Source organism: Homo sapiens, chromosome 11 (genome assembly GCF_000001405.40).
Source record: "Homo sapiens chromosome 11, GRCh38.p14 Primary Assembly".
NCBI classification, from domain to species: Eukaryota; Metazoa; Chordata; class Mammalia; order Primates; family Hominidae; genus Homo; species Homo sapiens.
Window position 1 is genome coordinate 8690382 of NC_000011.10, and position 20318 is coordinate 8710699.

At 50.7% G+C, this 20318-nt stretch overlaps 1 protein-coding gene across 24 annotated transcripts in view, besides 6 other annotated features; it reads right to left on the reverse strand.

Annotated features, from left to right (window-relative positions):
• Positions 2971-20318, reverse strand: part of DENND2B (DENN domain containing 2B) — a 217600-nt gene continuing 200252 nt past the window's right edge. For 18 of the 24 annotated variants that reach the window (NR_164816.1, NR_164817.1, NR_164821.1 and 15 more), the window contains 9 exons: positions 17396-17473; positions 16704-16844; positions 12191-12339; positions 8832-9009; positions 8552-8593; positions 7144-7255; positions 6046-6285; positions 5082-5168; positions 2971-3749 (listed from right to left, as the gene is read on the reverse strand). Coding sequence is in view for 15 of the 24 variants with exons in the window: in NM_005418.4 (NP_005409.3) it covers positions 3715-3749; positions 5082-5168; positions 6046-6285; positions 7144-7255; positions 8552-8593; positions 8832-9009; positions 12191-12339; positions 16704-16844; positions 17396-17473 (1062 nt within the window). In the remaining 9 variants the exon portion in view is untranslated. Of the gene's footprint in view, positions 3750-5081; positions 5169-6045; positions 6286-7143; positions 7256-7435; positions 7584-8551; positions 8594-8831; positions 9010-9217; positions 9323-12190; positions 12340-16703; positions 16845-17395; positions 17474-20318 lie in introns of all 24 variants that reach the window. The other 6 variants (NR_164820.1, NR_164819.1, NR_164814.1 and 3 more) reach the window with 4 other exon arrangements.
• Positions 7801-8588: an enhancer, noted in NCBI's record as "NANOG-H3K27ac-H3K4me1 hESC enhancer chr11:8719729-8720516 (GRCh37/hg19 assembly coordinates)". NCBI's record gives its function as "activates a minimal SCP1, AML or CMV promoter by ChIP-STARR-seq in naive H9 embryonic stem cells {active_cell/tissue: H9 hESC(naive)}" and the evidence as "EXISTENCE:reporter gene assay evidence [ECO:0000049][PMID:30033119]".
• Positions 8581-8875: a silencer, noted in NCBI's record as "tiled region #704; HepG2 Repressive non-DNase unmatched - State 5:Enh, and K562 Repressive non-DNase unmatched - State 18:Pol2". NCBI's record gives its function as "represses a minimal TATA promoter and a strong SV40 promoter by Sharpr-MPRA in HepG2 and K562 cells {active_cell/tissue: HepG2 | K562}" and the evidence as "EXISTENCE:reporter gene assay evidence [ECO:0000049][PMID:27701403]".
• Positions 8581-9374: a biological region, named in NCBI's record as "NANOG-H3K27ac-H3K4me1 hESC enhancer GRCh37_chr11:8720517-8721302".
• Positions 8589-9374: an enhancer, noted in NCBI's record as "NANOG-H3K27ac-H3K4me1 hESC enhancer chr11:8720517-8721302 (GRCh37/hg19 assembly coordinates)". NCBI's record gives its function as "activates a minimal SCP1, AML or CMV promoter by ChIP-STARR-seq in naive H9 embryonic stem cells {active_cell/tissue: H9 hESC(naive)}" and the evidence as "EXISTENCE:reporter gene assay evidence [ECO:0000049][PMID:30033119]".
• Positions 11737-12522: an enhancer, noted in NCBI's record as "H3K27ac-H3K4me1 hESC enhancer chr11:8723665-8724450 (GRCh37/hg19 assembly coordinates)". NCBI's record gives its function as "activates a minimal SCP1, AML or CMV promoter by ChIP-STARR-seq in naive H9 embryonic stem cells {active_cell/tissue: H9 hESC(naive)}" and the evidence as "EXISTENCE:reporter gene assay evidence [ECO:0000049][PMID:30033119]".
• Positions 19769-20270: an enhancer, noted in NCBI's record as "H3K27ac hESC enhancer chr11:8731697-8732198 (GRCh37/hg19 assembly coordinates)". NCBI's record gives its function as "activates a minimal SCP1, AML or CMV promoter by ChIP-STARR-seq in primed H9 embryonic stem cells {active_cell/tissue: H9 hESC(primed)}" and the evidence as "EXISTENCE:reporter gene assay evidence [ECO:0000049][PMID:30033119]".

Genomic DNA, 20318 nt, shown 5'->3' on the forward strand with positions numbered 1-20318 from the left:
AATTCTTCAAAATATTGCTTTTTAAAAAGCCCAGAATACTTATTTCAAGACTACAGTTTATCAGAGCATTTAGAACCGTGTAATGAAGTGGCCTGCCCTGCATTAAAAGAACTAACTTAATTACAGAATAGAGGAGAACTGACACTCCTATAGGTGAGGGGACTTCCCTGGTAGAGGAGATAGCACTGTTATCCCTGAGCAACTGCCCCAGTGTTGTCAGAAAGCCACTGTTTAAGGATACTCCCTCTCAATGGCCACAATACCATCTTTTACAGGAGTGTTTTGGAAACAGTGGGGTTTTTTTGTTTGTTTTTTTAATTAATAGAAATGGGGTCTTTACTATGTTGCCCAGGCTGGTCTCAAACTCCTGAGCTCAAATGATCCTCCTGCCTTGGCCTCCCAAAGTGCTGGTATTATAAGCATGAGCCACCACGCCTGGCCATGTTGGGTCATTTTTGTTGTCACAGTCATGGAGGGGAAGGGACCAGGGATGCTAAATATCTTGGAATGGATGAGCTGGTCCTACACAACAAAGAGAAATCTAACTTAAAATCTAACTTCATTTACACATAACCCAAAAGTTGGTTTGTTTTTTGTTTTTGCAGTTTTCATATACTTCTGTTTCCTAGGATTCTAACTACTGTTTAAATCAGGGGAAGCTCATACTTTGTTTTGTTGAGAACGTTACCAAAAATTGTTCATTTCAGAAAACTCACCAATAACTACTCAGTAGGATCTGAGATGCTGATACAACACTTTTCTCCATCTGCATATGTAGCTGTTGCATTCACAGTAATTCTGTGTACAGTATAGGCATCTGATTATCTCTTCTAGTACAGTTGTACACAAGCATTTACATATTTAAATATTATAACAAAATATTTCTGTTTTATTTCTCCCCTTTTATATTACAGTTAAGGTATATTTCGGTAGCTTATATTATCTTTGAATTTCATTTCAGGGTAGTGAAGGAGGGAATTAAAGTATTTGCTATTAAAAAAAAAACTGTTGGATCTGATAGGGATGAAAATCATTGGTTTAGAGGTCCAGAGATCATGTGAAAGAACGTGGAAAGAAGCCCTGAGATCATGTGAAAGAACGTGGAAAGAAGCCCTGAATATTTTTTGTAAACCTCAAGCCAGGCCCACTGTCCACACCCTCCTCTCCCCATAAGGCTGCTGTGCCTTGGCCATGGCAATCACTCTATGGGCCCTTGCAGCCTATTCTAAGCCATTATATGCCAGTACTGATTTTCTGGATTGGGACCAGAGCTGCAGCCACAGTAGCGGGGAGACATACCGCTCTGGTATTCACGGAAGGGCATACTAGATTTTAAAGACACATAAAAGTGGCAAAATTTATGAATAAGGCTGGATGTGGTGGCTCATGCCTGTAATCCCAGCACTTTAGGAGGACTGTTTGAGCCCAGGAGTTCAAGACTAGCCTGGGCAACATAGTGAGACCCCGTTAATGCAAATTTAAAAAAAAAATTTACACATACACATCTTGTGATCGGATCACATGTCTAAAGTGGTTCTTTGGAGCCATGCTGAAAAAGGAGGGGTGGAGAATTGGGGAGGAAGGGAGAGAGAGCGCATGTACCTTTTAGCCTTTTAGGAATTAAATCTGGTTTTTTGGGTTTTTTTTGAGATGGAGTCTCACCCTGCGCCCAGGCTGGAGTGCAATGGCGCGATCTCGGCTCACTGCAACCTCTGCCTTCCGGGTTCAAGCGATTCTCCTGCCTCAGTCTCCCAGTAGCTGGGATTACAGGCACCCCACCACACCTGGCAAATTTTTTGTATCTTTAGTAGAGACGAGGCTTCACCATGTTGGCCATTGCTGGTCTTGAACTCCTGACCTCGTGATCCACCCGCCTCGGCCTCTCAAAGTGCTGGGATTACAGGCATGAACCACCGCGCATGGCCTGTATTTTTCTTATTAAGGAATCTGGTTCTATGACTGTCCTAAGCCCAGGCTGAGTTAAGAGCGACGAGTTCTGGAGGGAACTACTTCCCACTCTGAGTCTTCTGGTTGTAATCCTTGTCTTTTCTCTTGATCTGAACTGAAGACTCATGAGGCTTCAATCTCTGTCCTAGTCCTGGCAAATGGCAGAGCCAGAAAATGACTTTGCCTTCCCAGAAGACAAACCCTCCACTTTATTCTGTGAGGCTGACGGCAGGCCCAAACCATGGACAGGTTGGGGCCTGTGCAGGCCTCAGTGGAGATGGGGAGGAGGAAGAGGGGAAGGAAACTTAGGATGGGATCATCTCTCAACAGGGTGGAAGGACAGGAAAACTTTACTCATGGTTCAAATCCTGTCAGACCCAAACACAATACCAAAGAAAATAGTTGCAGCTTAATGCCTCACTTGGGAGTTTGCAAAGTCTCTGCTCTCCGAAGGCCTTGGTGGGTGAAAAGCCTAAATCGTCCTTATTTCCCACCTTGCTTCTCTCCTTCCTCTTCCATGGAATGTAACCGTACTTTCTGTATGAAAACCTAGGGTTCCAATGGAAAAACGATTCACAGAGTGACATGCAAGAGTCACAGGGAGTAGGTCAGGGCTATGCCCAAGCCTGGGTTGGCATTAGCTGGGCTTTACTCTACCAATGTTAGGACACTCAATGACATCTTAGGGGCTTCAGGCAGAAGAGGAAAATGTTAAGATTTACCTAATAATGGGGCCGAAGGGCAAAGAGCATTCTTTCCATCACTGGAAACACTTAAGCACAGGCTGAACAGTTGAGGGAAGCTGAACTACTGCAATGACTGGGTATCTTCTAACTCTTAAGACCGGTCATGCAACTTAGGCTGGAGAACTCCATTTCAGGGGAGGTCAGTGACTCACACTGAAGCTAACCCCTTAATCTAGTACTCAGTTCCCTGTGTGATGGTGTTTCATCCCTGACTGGCCAGTCCCAGCCCATTCCCAGGAGAGAGAACTAGATAACAAAGCCAAGGAACACATGAGGCTCTGGGCCCAAACAACTGTACATTGTTTATTGAGAACACCCGTAGATGGGAAGGAGGGATGCCCTGTACCGCATCGTGGCCACCACTGACTGGGAGCCAGGCCCAGAGAGCACTGGCAGAGCTGGGGGTGGGCTTCCCATGACACACTGACCATCTCGGAGGGTGGGAGGAATGAGAGGACTAGGCCTAAGACCCTGGTGCCATGCTACAAATGGGGACTGATTGGCCTTTGCCTTTCAAAAACAGAGGGTATGGGTATGCGGACTACCAGCAAAAAATAGAAACTTGATTTTTTTAAAAGGTCCTCCTGTACATAACAAGACAGCATCTGCTCTCCAGGGCCCGGGACTGGCAGCGGGGACCTCAGGCAGGCAGGCAGGCCGAAGGCCTCCAGGGAAGATCAGTGGTTTGGCTGAGACAGTCAGCTGCACAAAACTGGCCAGTCACGAGCACCCAGCGAAACTTCATCCATGCTCTGGCAGGACAGGAAAGCACCCGGCCCCTTGGGAATATACAAATATTTGCCATATTCTCTTTGCTTGTTACAAAAAACAGTTAAGAAAGCTTACAGCAGATTATTTACAAACAGTATCCTGGGATATGATGAAGGCAGAGGTGGGCTGGCTTGGAGGATAGGATCTGTGGGGGCAGAGGAGCCACAGCAGCCCAGAGGGTCCCAGGCTGGGCCTTCTCCCCAGGCTTCAGGCTCTGCAAGGCACTGGACTCTGCTACTGAGAAGGAGGCTTAATTCTTCTTGTGGAGAAACTTCATTTTGTTGCCTGTGGGCCAGAGAGGACAAGAGAGAATGTTCAGTGTTATCCCTTCCAACCTCCACTCCCTCTCCTCCTTGTAGCCCTAACCCTGTCAGTGGGAGAGGAAGGATTAGGAAGACTGGATTATAACTGTGATCTGATCCAGGGTAGTGAAAACACGTGAGAGCTCTAATTAGGGCACCGGTATTAATCACTGTGTGGTTTTACGCAAGCCACTTAACCTCTTTGGTCTCAATTTCTCTTTAAACAGAAACATGCTATGATTCTCTGATCTGGCGGGCTGAGCACCCTGCAGGGAGGGGTGCATTTTGCAGGAAGGGCACTCGCACTGCTGTGTCTGCAGACCTGTTATGGTCTAGAGGAAAGCTCACTGGCTCTAATGGCCTTCATATTCACTCAGGAAGGAGTGCAAACAGAAAGACCTGATGTATGTGGGAACCTGGGATTCCTCTTTGTAATGCAATATGGTAAATACAGCCTGTCCTCCATATCCATGAGTTCTGCGTCCATGGGTTCCATGTTTATAGATTCAACCAACTGGAGATCAAGAATATTTGGGGGAAAAAATGGATGGTGGTGTCTGTACTGAACATATATAGACTTTTTTTTTCTCGTCATTATTCCCTAAACAATACAGTATAATATCTATTTACAGCTGGGCATGGTGGCTAACGCCTATAATCCCAACACTTTGGGAGGTCAATATGGGAGTATTACTTGAGCCCAGGAGTTTGAGACCAGCCTGGGCAACATAGCAAGACATCATCTCTACAAAACAAATTTTAAAAATAGCCAGGTGTAATGGCATATGCCTGTAGTCCCAGCTACTCAGGAGGTGGAGGAGGGAGGATCACGTGAGGCCAGAAGTTTGAGGCTGCGGTGAGCTAGGATTGCACCACTGCACTCCAGCCTGAGTGACAGAGCCAGACCTTGCCTCTAAAATAAAATAAATAAAATATAAAATAAAATAACAAAATTTATATTATATTAGGTATTATAAGTAATCTAAAGATGATCTAAAGTATATGGGAAGATGTGCACAGGTTATATGCAAATACTATGCCATTTTATAGAAGGGACTTGAGCATCTGTGGATTTTGGTATCCTTGGGTATCCAGGAACCAATCCCCCACAGATATTGAAGGACCACTACTGTGCAAAATGCCCTTGGAATTCTGGCTGAGAACCTTCTAGTCACTATGGGATGTCTACATCCTGTTCTGTCTACAGCCCCAGTATAACACCTGTTGACATTGATTTAGAGTATTCGGGAACACAAATCTCCCAGCCCCTTCCTTCTTGCTGAACATCTATCTCATCAGTAACAAGGCCACTTACCCAAACCTCGGAGAAACTTATTCATTCCACTCTGCTCAGTGTCTGGGAGTTCTTCTAAGTACTGCTCCACTCGCTGCTCAAAAAGGCCTGGGTAAAAGAAACAGGCACAGGGAAGAGAACAGTCATTGGAGGAAGGGAAGGAGAGGCCTACATGAAGGGAACCATGGAGCACAGATGCCAAAAAAGGAGAAAGAAAACATCTGGGATGATAATTTGCAGGAGCATCTTACTAGAATTCGGGCTGGCTCATCAAGGCGATCATTAGTGACATCTTGCCGGGGTTTGCTGCTGCCACCCTGCCTCCCCATGCACATTCCCAAGCTGCACTAGGTGAGGAGGCTGCTTCTCAGTTCAGAGCTGCCCCAAGTGGACATCTCTAGCTTCCTTCAGACAACTCTACCATGTTGTTCCAAAAAGGTTGTTATACTAAATGGATAGTATTAGAGGACAGAAGAAGTACTAACCCTGAGGTTAGACAGAAAAATTGTGATGAGATGAAAAAGCCCTCGAATGAGCTGATGAAATAGCAAAAAACAAGATAACCATCTGCCTTAAATGAAGACTGCCACCAACCTACGACAGCTGGCCCAATGCTCTGTAAGGGAATTCCCAACCACTGGGTTCTCAGAACCCCCGAAATTGCTCAGTCTGCTCCTTTTCTCTGGATAGAAGGGCTTTCTCCTATCTTTCTCTTTGAGGAGGGGGTGGGCAACCAATGGCATGCTGCTCCTAGGTGGAGATGAGTCCTACCTCTAGCCATGTGGCTTAGCTTGTGCATAGCCTTGTGAAGGCATTTACTGGGGCCGGAGGAGAAGAATGCTACCTTGAAGTTTCTAACAGAGGTAAAGGGATGTTAAGAGGCCTGGCCCTAGCTGATGTCCAAGAGCTTCCATCATAGTGCCTGGTTCTTCAGCCCTGCTGTGGGTGAAAAAATTAGAGAAGAGAGCTGATAACCAAGACTTACCCTTTGCCCGACACTTTCTTAGCTCCCTGTCTTGGATGAAGCCAGCAAACATCTGAGACTCCATAAAAACCTCAAGAAAGCGGCGGATGCTTTTGGAGGCCACAGATTTGCGGAAGGCCTCTCGCTGAAAGGCCCTCTCTCCCTTCTCACTCTGTGTCAGAAAGAGGGAGTAGTGCCCAACGGTCTCCACAAAGAACCGGATAAACACCTCCGACACCAGCCCATTGAGGGTATTACATTCTGGAAGGGAAAAGACAATCTTTGAGGTTCAGGTCAAGAGCCTGCAAAGCCTTCCTCAATCTTCCTGGTGTAGTCTTCCTCTCCCCAACAAGACTTCCAGCCAGTACCACTCTTCTGTTCTGGAAGCTCTTTTTGAGACCGAGTTTCACTCTTGTTGCCCAAGTTAGAGTGCAATGGCGCCATCTCAGCTCATTGCAACCTCCGCCTCCTGGGTTCAAGCAATTCTCCTGCCTCAGCCTCCCAAGTAGCTGGGATTACAGGTGCACTTTTTGTATTTTTAGTAGAGATGGGGTTTCACCATGTTAGCCAGGCTGGTCTCGAACTCCTGACCTCAGGTGATCCACCCGCCTTGGCCTCCCCAAGTGCTGAGATTACAGGCGTGAGCCACCACACCCGGCCTCTGGAAGCTTGCTTTCTTGTGCTCATAGCCTTGTAACTAGCCTACGAGCTGCAGAAGGCCAGAAACTATGTTCTGAACATGGAAGTTGAAACATAATTGCTGGATGAATTAAAGTAGAAACCAGAGCACCACTTTCATCATATCCCTCACCCTAAGTGATTTTTCTGGCTTCCAAGGAAGAGGAAGTGCCTTTCATCTCCTGCAATGGCTTGAGGCAAGGCCTCAGAAGGAGGAATAATTAGTTTTCTGTCAGCAGAAAGTATCTTTGGGGTTGCCACATGTCTTTGGGTTTTCCTTCCTAAACTACCTGGGGTAGAAAAGACGCTAGAGTGAGACCAAGGTCCTCATCAGCCAGAAAGGGTTTGGTGTGCAGAGGCAGAGTTCTGGCCCTATGGGGCCCTGACCCAGAGCAGAGGGAGCCTGGAGCAGAGCTGACCGTGCCCGGGCACTATTCTCACCATCGTCGGAGTCGCTGTCAGAGTCCTGGGAGATCAGCTCATTCTTCCTCTCCAGAGCCTGCTCCAGAGCTGCCTGTAACTTCCTAGGTAACAACGTGTCTTCGTCGTCCATCTGCAGGAGAAAGAAAGCACAGTGACAATCATAGCTGACACTGAGCACTTACTATGTGCTAAGACCTGTTAGAAGAGCGTGAGTAGATAATCTCATTTATCTCTCCCAGTAACCCTCATAACTATCATCAACCTCATTTTAAGATGAGGAACTGAAGCACAGAAAGGTTAAGAAACTTGCCCAAGATTACAGAGATTAAAAGTGGTAGAGGGTCAGGCGCAGTGGCTCACGCCAGTAATCCCAACACTTTGGAAGGCTGAGCGGGAGGATCGCTTGAGCCCAGGAGGGAGTTCGAGACCAGCCTGGGCAACTTAGCAGGTCCCTCTATCTGCAAAACACACACAAAAAAACAATTAGTCAAGTATGGTGGCATGCACCTGTACTCCCAGCTACTTAGGAGGCTGACATGGGGAGGATCACCTGAGCCCAGGCAGGTCGAGGCTGCAGTGTCATGACTGTACCACTGCACTCCAGCCTGGATGACAGTGAGACCCTGTCTCCAAAAAAAAAAAAAAAAAAAAAAAAAAAAAGGGGGTAGAGCCAGTGTGGCATTCACTGGCCTCTGTGACCAGGACCAGCCAGGGGTTCCTGATTAGGTCTCCCCAATTCCTCCATCTTCAGCTCCAGGCAGGAGGCACAGTTGGCTTGGGGCAGGGGGACTGTGGCCAGCCTGTGTCTCAGGAATGAAGTTAGACTGTTGTTTCGTCTCTATACTCTGTTTCTGTGTCCACATCACTATGCCTGGTACCCAGGGAGTCCTCAGCTCCGTCATTGGTGTGTAACAGACAATAAGTACATTTCCATAGGGGAGAGCACTGGGTTGTGCTCCTTTGTAGAGAGCCAGGAGGATTTCCACGACTAACAAAGGCTTTTTGTAGTTGACAACAATGATTGCAAACCTGTACGTTACATAACAATCTATAGTTATTTGTGTAACCCCCAGCAAACATTTCAAGGCAGGTGTTGTCACCACCTCTCCTTTAGAGCTCAGAAGAATTTAGAGGCCTAAGACCATGTGGCTCAAAGGGGGCAAAGTCCAGTGGCCAAGTCTGTGGACTCCCAGGCCGTGTTCTTCAAATTCCCACACTGCCTTCTAGAAGCTCATGATGTCACTGGAAAGGCGGACCCTGCTAAGGTCAAGGATTCCAAGACCAGCTTCTCCCCACCCTTGACTAGTCTGTGAGTAGTACTGAACCCAGAGAGAGAGCTCAACAAACAGGTTGTGAAGGTTGAGTAGTGTGTGTGATGGTGCAGGGTGCTCAGGAGCCCAACTCTAGCAAGCACCCACCCTCTTACCTGTCGGATGAATCGGTCAGATCCCAGATTCACCATCAGCGCCTGAGAAAAGGAGTCATTAGCAGAGTGGCTCAGGGCATGAGTCCCGCAATGCCCTCTGCCAGGCCTCCAGACCTCCCAGGTTCCCAGGGTCAGCTAACAGGAAGTACTCCAGCCGGGGATAGACCTCCCAGGGAGAAAGGATAAGAGCCTGGTAAAGAGGCCGAGGGGCCACAAGTAAGATCCCAGCACCTGCTTCCCCCTCCACCCTTCCCCCCAGCTGGTTCCCCCGGTGGCCCACCTCCTCCACAGGCAGCTCCTTCAGTTTGGGGAGGGAGCTGGAGAGCAGGCCAACCAGGAAGGGGGTGGGACAGCAGACGATGTCAATCATGGAGGCCGGGAGGACAGGAATGAAGGTGTGCTGCCAGGAGAAGGGGTAGAGCAAGGCCACCACCGCGTGGGAGCAGCTGGAGAGGGTACTGATGGGCAGACAGAGAGACAGAGTACCTGAGCCCAGGCCCAGGAACTTAGAGCTCGCTGGAGGCTCAGGACAGCCTTTGATCGTAAACCTCCCAGTGCAACAAAAATGCTAATGGGGTTCAGGGACCCTGCAGACTGGTAAAGTCCCCGCTTTCCCACTGCGTAGCGCCTCAAGGACAACAATGCTACTCTCTTAGGGAAATGTACCTGCAAACAGCCAGGAAGGTATGCAGCAACCCGCAGGACAGTCATCTGACAAAGATCTGGAAAAGGGCTGTCTCGGGTTTGGGGGGCACATCAGTGGGCCCGTGGCTGAGGAGGCAGTAGGTTTTGTAAACCCCTAGGGCCAGTGAATGCAGATCGTGGGTACCCTCTCCCACCCCACATCAGAACTAGGCAAGAGGGACAAAGAACTTGTGGAAAACCTAAAACATCAGCAACGGATCATGAGCTGGCTGGACCTACCCCTCCCCTCTCCAGCCAGAGGCAGACCCCAGGCAGAACAGGAAGGACATCTTTTCCAAGACCCCAGATTGGCAGAACTTGAATACCCGGCCAGGCCAAGAACAAGACCTTGGGATCGTCCCTCCCAGAATGGTCCTGGAATGTGCTCAGAGGCAGCTGCAACCACAGGAAACAATAGCTGTATTCACAGCCCCACGGGAGCTGGCCTGGGGGGGGGCAGGGTGGCAAAGAGGAAGCTCAGCCCTGAATTAGAGGGTAGAACCTTCAGGAAAAGAAACCTCATGGTCCAGGCTCTCTTAGGGGCCACTAAGGTCAGGCCAGGCCAGGGCACCAAAGCTGGGCAGTCAGGGGCTTTGTTGGCTGACAATGACCATGGCTGGTACACAGGAGGGGCCTCTTGGAACTGCTGTACCCAGCTCATTCCAGCTGTTGGGCTAGATTTCTTCACAAGGGCCTGATGGGCCCACAGAACACCTAGAAGTGTGAGACACAGAAGCATTGAGGCTGTGATGGGAACAAGTGAGGGGCAGTTTTCCTTTCTAAACCCTGGTGCTCTATGGAAAAGTCAGCAGCTCTGGTTTTTCTTCCTCCTTTCTTCTCCTGGGCTGAGGATGGGCCTGCGTTCCTGTCCCTCTGAAGGCAATCGGGAGTTCATTTCTCGGTTTCCTCTCAACTGCTTCCTCATACATACGGAAGGAAATACCCCAGGGATTCAGGACTTATTGGAGGACAAACCAGAACGGGGATTTTCCTTCACTGCCCTCCTGTGAGCACCTGACATTTAAGGTGGCTTAATCAATGTCCAAATGACCACTCTAGAGAAACCACTGCTTGGGATGGATTCTTTGACCAAAACAATATGTAACATGTTGCCAATAACCCATCCTGTTGTTGTAGGACTTACTAAGAAATTATTTTATGGAGAGAGGAAAAGTTTTTGTTTCCTTTTTTTAAAAAAATTTTTAAATTTTTATTTATTTATTTATTTTGAGACAGAGTGTCACTCCCAGGCTGGAGTGCAGTGGCACAATCTCCGCTCACTGCAACCTCCACCTCCTGGATTCAAGCAATTCTCCTGCCTCAGCCTCCTGAGTAGCTGGGACTACAGGCCCAGCTAATACAGGGTTTCACCATGTTGGCCAGGAGAGTCTCGATCTCTTGACCTTGTGATCTGCCCACCTCGGCCTCCCAAAGTGCTGGGATTACAGGCGTGAGCCACTGTACCTCATTTCCTTTAAAGCAGCTCAAAAATGTTTCTTGTCTGGAAAGAAAGCCCCGGCTCTTAGAGCCAGGCAGGCAACCTTTGATATGCAAATGAAGACCATTAGAAATTGGGTCCACCCAACATGGCAATTCCCACCGTTGTCCTCTTGCCCTTGCCCCTACAGGTGCCTAGCAGCATGGCTGCCCCGCATATTCCCACGTGTGTAGAACATCAGGCGCCCTACATTCGCATATTAAAAGGCTAGGATGGGAAGGCCAGCTTCCGGGGGGGGGGGGGGGAGGGGCTACATGAATGACATGCCTGGTCAAACCAATCCCCTAAGCCCTATGCAAATCAAACACCGCCTCCTCCAGCCTTCTTATCAAACTGGCTGGTATCCACAACACTTGGGGTTCCCTCTCTCGGCTTTGGAGCCTCTCTCCCTCTGTCTCTGTACTTTCTTCTTTCTGCCTTTCTCCTTCCCTTCTTGCCTATTAAACTCTCCGCTCCTTAAAACCACTCCACGTGTGTCGGTGTCGTTTTATCTAAACCAGCATAAGAACCAAAAACCCTAGTGTTCCTGCACTCATCGGAGCCGTATCACTTGTGCCTTGCCTGTGTCACCCCCTAACCACCACTGACATAAAACTTTTTTCTTTTTTAAACCTTGGCTGTCTAGAAGAGCTCCGACTTCTTACTTCCTAAACTGCCTCACGTCCAGTGACCATCACTTCTGCCACCCCTCCCATGGCCACCACCAGACCTTCTCGACACCTCTACCTCTAAAATCATAAATGCCAGCATTTCAGACCAAGACCTGTGACCCATCCAGCTCTTTTCTTACTCCTCCTAAACCAGCTCCCCGACTTCCCTGGCACCTCCAGGCCCTGCACATCATCTGTTTCCCGGTGTGGGCTGGCCAGCCTTCCTCACCCACTCTCCTCTCTGCACCTCAGTGCCCCCATCACATCCTTCTCCCCAGCCCTCCCATTGCCCAGCCCTGGGCCACTGCAGTTGCCTTCTCCAGGGGACACCCTCCACAGGACCCTCGCTGGCTGGCTCAGCATTCCTCACACTGTCCCCGGTCAGTGCTCTTGCCCCTTCCTCACAGCAGCTCTTTCCTCAAACTCAGCATCCCATTGAGATGGCTTTGCCTCCCCCTCCAGAAGAAATGCAACCATCCACCAAAAATCTCAATTTCTTAACCTTTCCCCTTTACATATCCCGGCACCTGCACAGTCTTGGCTGTTGCAAAGGAAGAAATATCCCTCCCTCTCCCCTCAGGCCAAGCCCTCCACAGGGTTCTCAATCCTGCCATCTGTGTGCTCCCAAACCCTGCTCCCTCACCCACACAGGGGTGCTACCTTTCCACCTAGTCTTCCATCTCCCTACGCACAGCCCCACTCCAGCACTGGTCTCCGGCGCCTGCTTAGGCTCCTGAACACTTGCTGATTCGCTTGTGGGTGTGCCTTCCCCCCTCCCTTCTGCTTTCTTGCCCGGCTGGGCCCTACCTGAGCTTATCTGCCACAAAAATGACCCGGCGCTCCAGCAGCAGTGAGGCAAAGATTCGGATGAGCTGGCGCACACTGAGGCAGGTAAAAAGGCACTCAAAGTCCACGTGCTCCAGCCTTGAGTCCATGGGCCGCCGCAGCTCTAACACCTGCAGGAGAGCGATGGGAAAGTGGGCCGGGGCCAGCCAAGTGGGTGCTGCCCTCTGGCCCTCCACGAAGCAACTGGAGCTGCTTTCCCCTTCCAACCTGCTCTTTTCCAGGTCTCTCGTCTACCCTGCTATGCAGTAAACCCCTCTTCTCCATCCCTCGGACTACAGCTCTGCTCTCGTAGCACTCGAACACCCAGCCTGTGGGCAAGAGGGCTGCCTGTGAAAGCGGGGAAGGCTCCAGAAGGAAGGAGTTGAGGGGCCATCCATCGGGACCTCAGGAAGAGAGGAGAGCTGACTGCTCTTAGAGATAGGGAGAAGAAGGGAACCACACAGCCACATCTCTAGGGTCCTCCTGCCCACCTCCCCAGACAAAGGTCTAAGCCCCCAGTGCTGACTAGACCCCACTGCTCTCCAGGCATCTCCGCATCCCAGGACTCTAATCCCAGCCATTGCCTCTGGAAGGGCAATGCTGGGGTCCTTGTTGCCCTGTCCCCCTCCCTTTCCTGCAGAAAGAGTTTCCTTCCAGAGGCTGTTTGTCCTGCTATCCTGGCCTTTATCTCCATCACCCTAAGTCCCATGCCAGTCACAAGGAAAACATAAGCAAAGGGCTGGCCATTCTGCAGCCTTGCCAGGAAGCAGGACTGTCTTATCAGGGCCAGGCCTGGCCCTCTTTCCTCCAAAGGCTGCTCCCAAGGTGAGTGCCACAGCTCAGAGAGCCACTTCTCTGGGGGAGTCACAGGGGTGGAAGGTAGTGAGTGACTCCAGCGGTGAGGGCAGGAGGAACTGCTGACGCTCAGGCCGTGCCAAAGCAGCTGTCCCTGGGGTCTGCCTGGCCTCCTCCTTGGTCCCGCAGCATGTGTGTGCAGCATAGATGTGCAGGCCTCCTGAAAACTAGGGTGAGAAACCAGTTCTCTCTCATTGCCCCATGGCATCAAAGGTAATGCTTTACAAGGAGTTTTTATACCCACGTCATCTCATTTGTTCCTCAGAGTCTAAGCAAATGAAGGAGTTCTAACTCCTAACTCAGCATCCATCCTTCTGGGCCCCAGAGAAGCAGCAAAATGGGCACAGGGCATGGTAACGGTCTGTGTCCACTGTCTCTCCCGCCTGATGGTGTACTCCCAGAAGGCCCAGTGATCCGCCAGATGCTGGGTACACCCCAAATGGTCAGTGAACGTGGACTCACAGAAAGAAGTAGCACAATGATGCCAGAGCCCTTTATACCTGCTCCAGGCCCTGTCCCCGCCCCAAAATTCGCAAGCTCCCTGCATGCAGCCCAACAGGCTCTGCTCTCTAGCACCCAGCTCCAGTCCCTACTGTCCCTGGGGCCCAACCCTCCCCCTTCCCCCAGGGATTGAGAATTCACACAGGCTGCTCCCACTCCCGGCCTTGTTCCCTGCATCCCTGCCTTCAAGGAGATCAAGCCCAGGGGGCTGAAGGAGCTGAGTAGTTACAGCCTGGGAGTCCAGTGTCAGGACAGAGGCAGATGTGACCAACATCTGCACAGGGACAGGCAGGACATCTAGAAGGGCAGCCAAGCTCATGTGGGTGGGGAGAGGTCAGGGAAGCCTCTCAGAGCACAAGGTACTTGACTCCCCAAAGAGAAAAGAAGAGAAGTGTCTTCTAGGCAAAAGGAAGTAGGGTTGAGGCAACACTAAGTATCAAGTCAGAAGACGAGAGCCCAGTGAGGTGGCCAGGGCCAGACCATGAAGAGCTCCCAGGCATGATGCTGCGCTATAAGGGAAGGGTCCCCTATCCTGTGCCCCACAGCCACCATGAAGCCTAAAGTTCCTCTAAATGAAGGGGAGAAAAGAGGCGAGGAGAAAGCCCTCAAGCTAGGATTTGCCACTGCTCAGCAAGCCTGGTATGCTTTTTTGGTCAGTCCCTCTCCCACTCTCTACAACTAATTTATTTATTCTTCCCTCTCCTAGAACCCAACATCCACCTCTTACTCTCAAAGGATGACCTTTTCTATTTTGACATATGTATTTTTTTGAGATGGAGTCTCGCTTTGTCGCCCAGGCTGGAGTGCAGTGGCGCAATCTTGACTCACTACAATCTTCACCTCCCGAGTTCAAGAGATTCTCCTGCCTCAGCCTCCCGAGTGGCTGGGATTACAGGCATGCGCCACCACACCTGGCAATTTTTTTTTTGTATTTTTGGAAGAGACAGAGTTTCAACATGTTGGCCAGGCTGGTCTCGAACTCCTGACCTCAAGTGATCCCCCCGCCTCAGCCTCCCAACGTGCTGGGATTACAAGCACATGAGCCACGGTGCCCGGTCTGACCTTTTCTACTTTGAGAAAATCAAAGCCATCAGATGAGAATCCAAAATCTACTAAGCCACTCCCTCCTCTCCTAATAAACACCAAGCCCTCCATGGAGCCTAACACCCACATCTTCTCAGTACTCTCTGCTAGCCCCTCCTGCTCCTGCAGCTCAAACCTCTTCCTCTGGCAGCCATTCCCACCAGCATACAAACTACCATCCCTAACAAGCTTCCCTAGTTCCACATTTCAATTGCTGCCCTCTTCCCTATTTCTCTCCACAGCCATGCAATCTTGAGAAGATGTCTACACAGGCTGTTTCCACTTCCTCACACCCATCACTTCTCAACTCACTCCAGCCCAACTTCTGGGCCCCTGCACTTGTCAAGATCTTGCCACGCCTCATCCTGACCTCTTGGTGGTTCCTGATCCGGATCACGGCTTCCTTTTTGAGGTGCTCCTGAGCCGCAGCCCTCTCCTGAGTGTTCCTCTCCTGCAGGGCCTCTGCACGTTGGGGTTCCCCAGGACTGAGGAGGACCCCATACTGGGCTCTCTTCTCTTCCCTATTTACACTCTTTGCTACTAAATACCTTCTCTTGGGGGTCTCATGGGCATCTCAAACTTGACATGTACACATTTGGACTCTTGCTCTTCCTCCTCATTACCTGCTTCTCCTTCACGAGCTCCCATCTCAGTACATGGCTCCATCATCTACCCTGGGGCTCCAGCCAGAAAACTGGGAGTCAGCCTTACAGTCTCTGTAACAACTACTCCCTATTTCCAATCAAACGCAAAGTGCTATTGGTCCTAATTCTAAAATCCATCTACTTCCCTTCCCCTGTTCTACCACATCTTAATCCAAAGCTGCCATCATCTCTTACCCATAGTGCCACAACAGTATCCCTGCTGGTCTCCCCGTTTTCACTCCGACCATTATCTACATGGCAGCCACAGTGGGCTTTGAATACATGTATCAGCTGGCCACAGGTGGCTCACGCCTGTAGTCCCTACAGTTTGGGAGGGGGAGGTGGGAGGATTGCTTGAGTCCAGGAGTTCAAGACCAGCCTGGGCAACAGGGTGAAACCCTGTCTCTATAGAAAATACAAAAGTCAGCTGGGTTTGGTGGTGCACGCCTGTAGTCCCAGCTACTCAGGAGGCTGAAGCGGGAGGATCGCTTGAGCCCGGGAGGGTGAGGCTGCAGTGAGCCATGATAGCACCACTGCACTCCAGCACCACTGCACAATATGGGTGGCAGAGTGAGACCCTGTCTCAAAAAAATAAAATGAAATGAAAATATACGTCAGATCTTATCATACCCCTGCTTTAGATAAAACCCCAAATCCTTAACTTGGCCTAGCAGGGACATCGTGATTGGGTTCTTGCCTGCCAACCCACCCCTCTACCCCCACCCCATCAACCCTCTGACCAGCATTTGCACTTGCCCAACTTTTGCCTTTGCAGATGCTGGTTCCTCTACTTGGAATAATCTTCTCCCGTTCATATCCTTCTCTTTCCATCTCCCTCCTCCTGCTTCATTTAGTTGCCCCCACTCACCACTTAGGTCTCTGATAAAGTGTTACTTTCTCAGAGGAGACCTTCCCTGGCCCCTTATTTAAAGCAGACTCCCCTGTTTCACACTCTCATAAGGTCCTGTGCTTTCACTTGGCTTGTAACACATTTAGGAATTATCTATTTATATGTAAAAGTGTTTATAATAGCAGTATCTCCCACTAGACTACAAACTTCATGAGGACAGAGCCACGTCCCTCTACCTCTGACTCTGCTCTGAGGTCTGGCGCAATCCCTGATTGTGAGATGGCACACATTCAGTAACTGTTCAATGAATGAACAAAAGGAAGGCAGATGGAATGCAGTTTAGTCCAAATGGGTCAGGGAAGGCCCCTGGGAGGAACAGAGGGCTGGACAACATGTACATTCCTATTGTTTGCTCTTTTGGTCCCTAGTGATGGGGTACACAGACATGGTTGAGCAAGGAGGGACCGTGCTCTGCAACCCCCAAAGACTACGACCTTGGCCAGCATGGTCCTCCTGCCACCCCAGCCCGTAGCCCGAGAGAAGAGGGTGCAGAAATCCCTACCTCATTGCCAGCACCTGGCAGGAATGTCTTCACTTTGATGGTCTTCCCTGGGGCTGGGAAGGGCGACTCCATGAGACTTCTCATGAAAGGATAGACCAATGCAGCGGAGATCCCACGCCGGCGCTCCACCTCATCTAGGACCTGTGCCCACCGCCAGCAGCCCAAAGAGGAAGGGTGTCAGGGCACTGCCCTTCCCCCTCCTGGCAGAGAAGAGGGCAGCCAAGCATCTGACCAGGCTAGCCCAGAAGCTGGGAGACGGGAAGGTGGTCTTGCCATGATCTGCACACTCTACCCTTCCCGTTTTCCTTGGCACTCAGTGACTCCTCTGTTCCCTAACTGGCCTTGCTTCAGTCCCCAAGAGCGGAGTAGCTGGGCAAAGGAAATACCACCCAAGAGTCAGCTCCCTGGGCGCTCCTGCTTCCCCAAGGACTCTGGCTCTGCCTAGGGCCCAGGGTGGGCTGTGACAGGGGCAGACACTGCCAGCACAGGAGCTGGGGAAATGCCAGCCAGCTGGGTAGAGAACCAGGCCGGGGAATGGGAGGGTGTCAGAGAGCTCACTGGTACTTGTTCCTGCATTCTGTCTCCCGCTCGCTCACAGTCACAGGTGGTTTTCTCATCTAAGCTGGCTGCAGATACTCCTGTGGGAGCTGTCAGCTGGGGGACGGGGAGGGAAGCCTGCCAGAGCCTCTTACCTTGGAAAACAAGCCGAAGCAGCCAAGGCGGCTGATGACACAGTACACCTCTGGCAACCGGGGCCCTTTCCCACTTGGCTGGGCCAGGACAAGGAGGAGGAGGAGAGAGACAGACACAGAGAATGCATGATTACCATTTCTGGCTCCTTTTCCTTGGGAACGGAGGAGTAAGGACTGCCCTTCTAGTGGAGGAAGACTTTAAGCCTCCTCTAAACCTCTCTGCAACCAGAGCCCTGAAGGAACAGCCACCACTCTCAGGACAGGCCTCAGCTCTGCAGGGTCTCCCAGCACCAGGTACCAGGCTCCTGCCAGGCTCCACACAGGCTCCACCCTTCCTCCCAGGAGGACGCTGACGGGGGCTGGCAAAGGGCAAAGCAGTTTGGCAGAGGCTACAGGGTGTCTGTGGATTCATAGCCCTGAGGCTGGGACCCCAGCAGATGGGAAGGACTAGGGTACATCCTTAGGACAAGCCATTGTAGCTTTTTAGCCCCATAGGGCACATTCGGCATACCATTCCTTTTTTTGCTTCTTTTCTCCCTTTCTTGATCCACCTCCATTCTAAGAGAGCAAACTGAAAACAAGAGATGGGAGCTACTGTTTATGGAACATTTGCTATACCTGACTCCTGGGCTTGGGACTTTACAAGAGATTTGTGAGAGAGGGATTATTATCCCCTTTATAGATGAGGCAACTGAGTTCAAAAAGATAAAGCCATTGCCTAAGGCCACCTATCTAGAAGCTGTGGAGCCAGGAGTTTGCTTTGGCCCTGTTTGGCTGTCTTACCCCTAAAGCCTGCTGCTTTCTGACAGGAAGGAAAGAAAACAAAGACACTGGGTAGAGGTTTGCTATGGAGTAAAGGAGCAAAAGAAGAATGGGACTTAAAAGGTAGGCATGGCCAGGCGCGGTGGCTCACGCCTGTAATTCCAGCACTTTGGGAGGCCAAGGGAGGTGGATCACCTGAGGTTGGGAGTTCGAGACCAGCCTGACCAACATGGAGAAACCCCATCTCCACTAAAAATACAAAATTAGCCGGTCATAGTGGCATGCGCCTGTAATCCCAGCTACTTAGGAGGCTAAGGCAGGAGAATCGCTTGAACCCGGGAGGTGGAGGTTGCAGTGAGCCGAGATCACACCATTGTACTTCCAGCCTGGGCAACAAGAATGAAACTCTGTCTCAAAAAAAAAAAAAAAAGGTGGGTAGCTAAAGGGGAGACATGCACTGAGAGCTCCCAGGCCCGGAGCCCCCATGCAGGCTGCAGTGCCTTCTCCAGCAGGACTCAGAGGCCTGGAGGGCCTGGCAAGTCCGAGTGGGGAGGGAGCAGAGCAGCAGGTGCTGGCCCCTCGTGCAGGCTGCTAAGCAAATGCAGATGGGGCTATTTCAGTCTCCAAACCTGCTGGCCACACGTCACAGATCTAAAGAGAAGGCAGAATCTGTTTTTGTCCATATTAGGCCTGAAACTCACTCCTGTCTCTTTCCCTCTCCCCCGCCTCCCCTAAAGCCCCAAGTGATTAAATCAAGTATGTGGGATTTGGATCAGAATCATTGTGTCCAATCTGCAGGAATGCCGAGCTAGTGCCAGCCCCCTTGGCAGAGACCCAGCCCAGGCCCTCTCTGAGCACGCCAGGACAAACACGCTCTTCCCTGGGGGCAGCAGCCCCACTACAAAGGAGCAGCTCTGCTCCATCTATGTTCCAGCAAAGGCAGCCTTCGCAACACTCCTTCCAAGCCTGGGAGGCCCAGGCGGCCAGAGGCATGCTGGCCTCTGCCTGGCTCACCACCTGGCATCACTCCTGTGCATACGCCCTTTGCCCCTCCATGGGCATTCTACCTCCCCACGCCCCCTCTCCCCAGTCCATCCTCTGGGGGTGATCCAAGAGTACAAATTGGTGACAAACGACTTCCCTTCTGGTTCTGTATGACCTTGGGCAAGTCATTCTACCTCTGAGTTTTGACTTTCCAATCTATGGATCAGGGATAATAATAACCCATGGGCTATTGTGATCATTTTCTTTTAAAAGACATACTTGAAGCATCTAGCTTGGAATGTGACAGGTTCTAAACAACATTTATTCCCTCTTATTCCCTTGGCCCTTCCCTCCTGTGTTGAAAGTCCAATCTCCTGTAACAGGCCATCTAAAGTTCCTCGAGAGGGAGATCCATGTTAAACTCATCTTTATATGAGCACGTGCCTGACTCTCAATAGCACGTGCCTGACTCTCAATAGGTCAGGGCTTCTGATAAGGGATGATAAGTGTTTCTGAATGAATGAATGGCCGGCCCCAAATCCTTCCTTCAGGGCTCCTGCCCCCTTCATCTACCCCTAGACTGGTATCTGGGGAGGCTTTCTCTTGCTAAGGCCTGGAAACCCCAAAACATTGTCAACAACCCAGTAGCTCCAAGCTGGGAGTGCAGCAGGGGCCAGGCTCTGAGCCTCTACCCAATCTATTTCCCAGGACTAATGGGAAGGGAAATGGTGAGGGACTTCTCTTTACAAAATGGCTAACATTTTCAAAACCTAATCCCTTTCCCCTAGATTCAAGGTATCTCTCTCAGATTCCCAGAGAAGGTATGTCTCTGTCCCTGCCCAATCTCCAGCCCCACCACACCACAGAAAGGCCTCCTCCCCACTACAGGCTGGCCAGGTATGGGGGTGAGGAAGGTTGTCCCTCACCTAATCTGATGCATATACACATACTGCTGGGGGCGATTCGATCCTGCAACCAGAGACCAGCAATCAGAGCCCATGATCCCAAGGGAAATGACGAAAAAGTAGAGAAAAACTAAAAAGACATGAAAACCCACTCCCTCCCCTTACTCCAGATAACCTCCGATCCTAAGGCCCCCTCAGAAGCACCACTCTGAGCCCTGCTCTCCCAGGGTAGCCTCACCTGTGAAAGTGTGTGTGTTGGCAGGGGGTTCGGG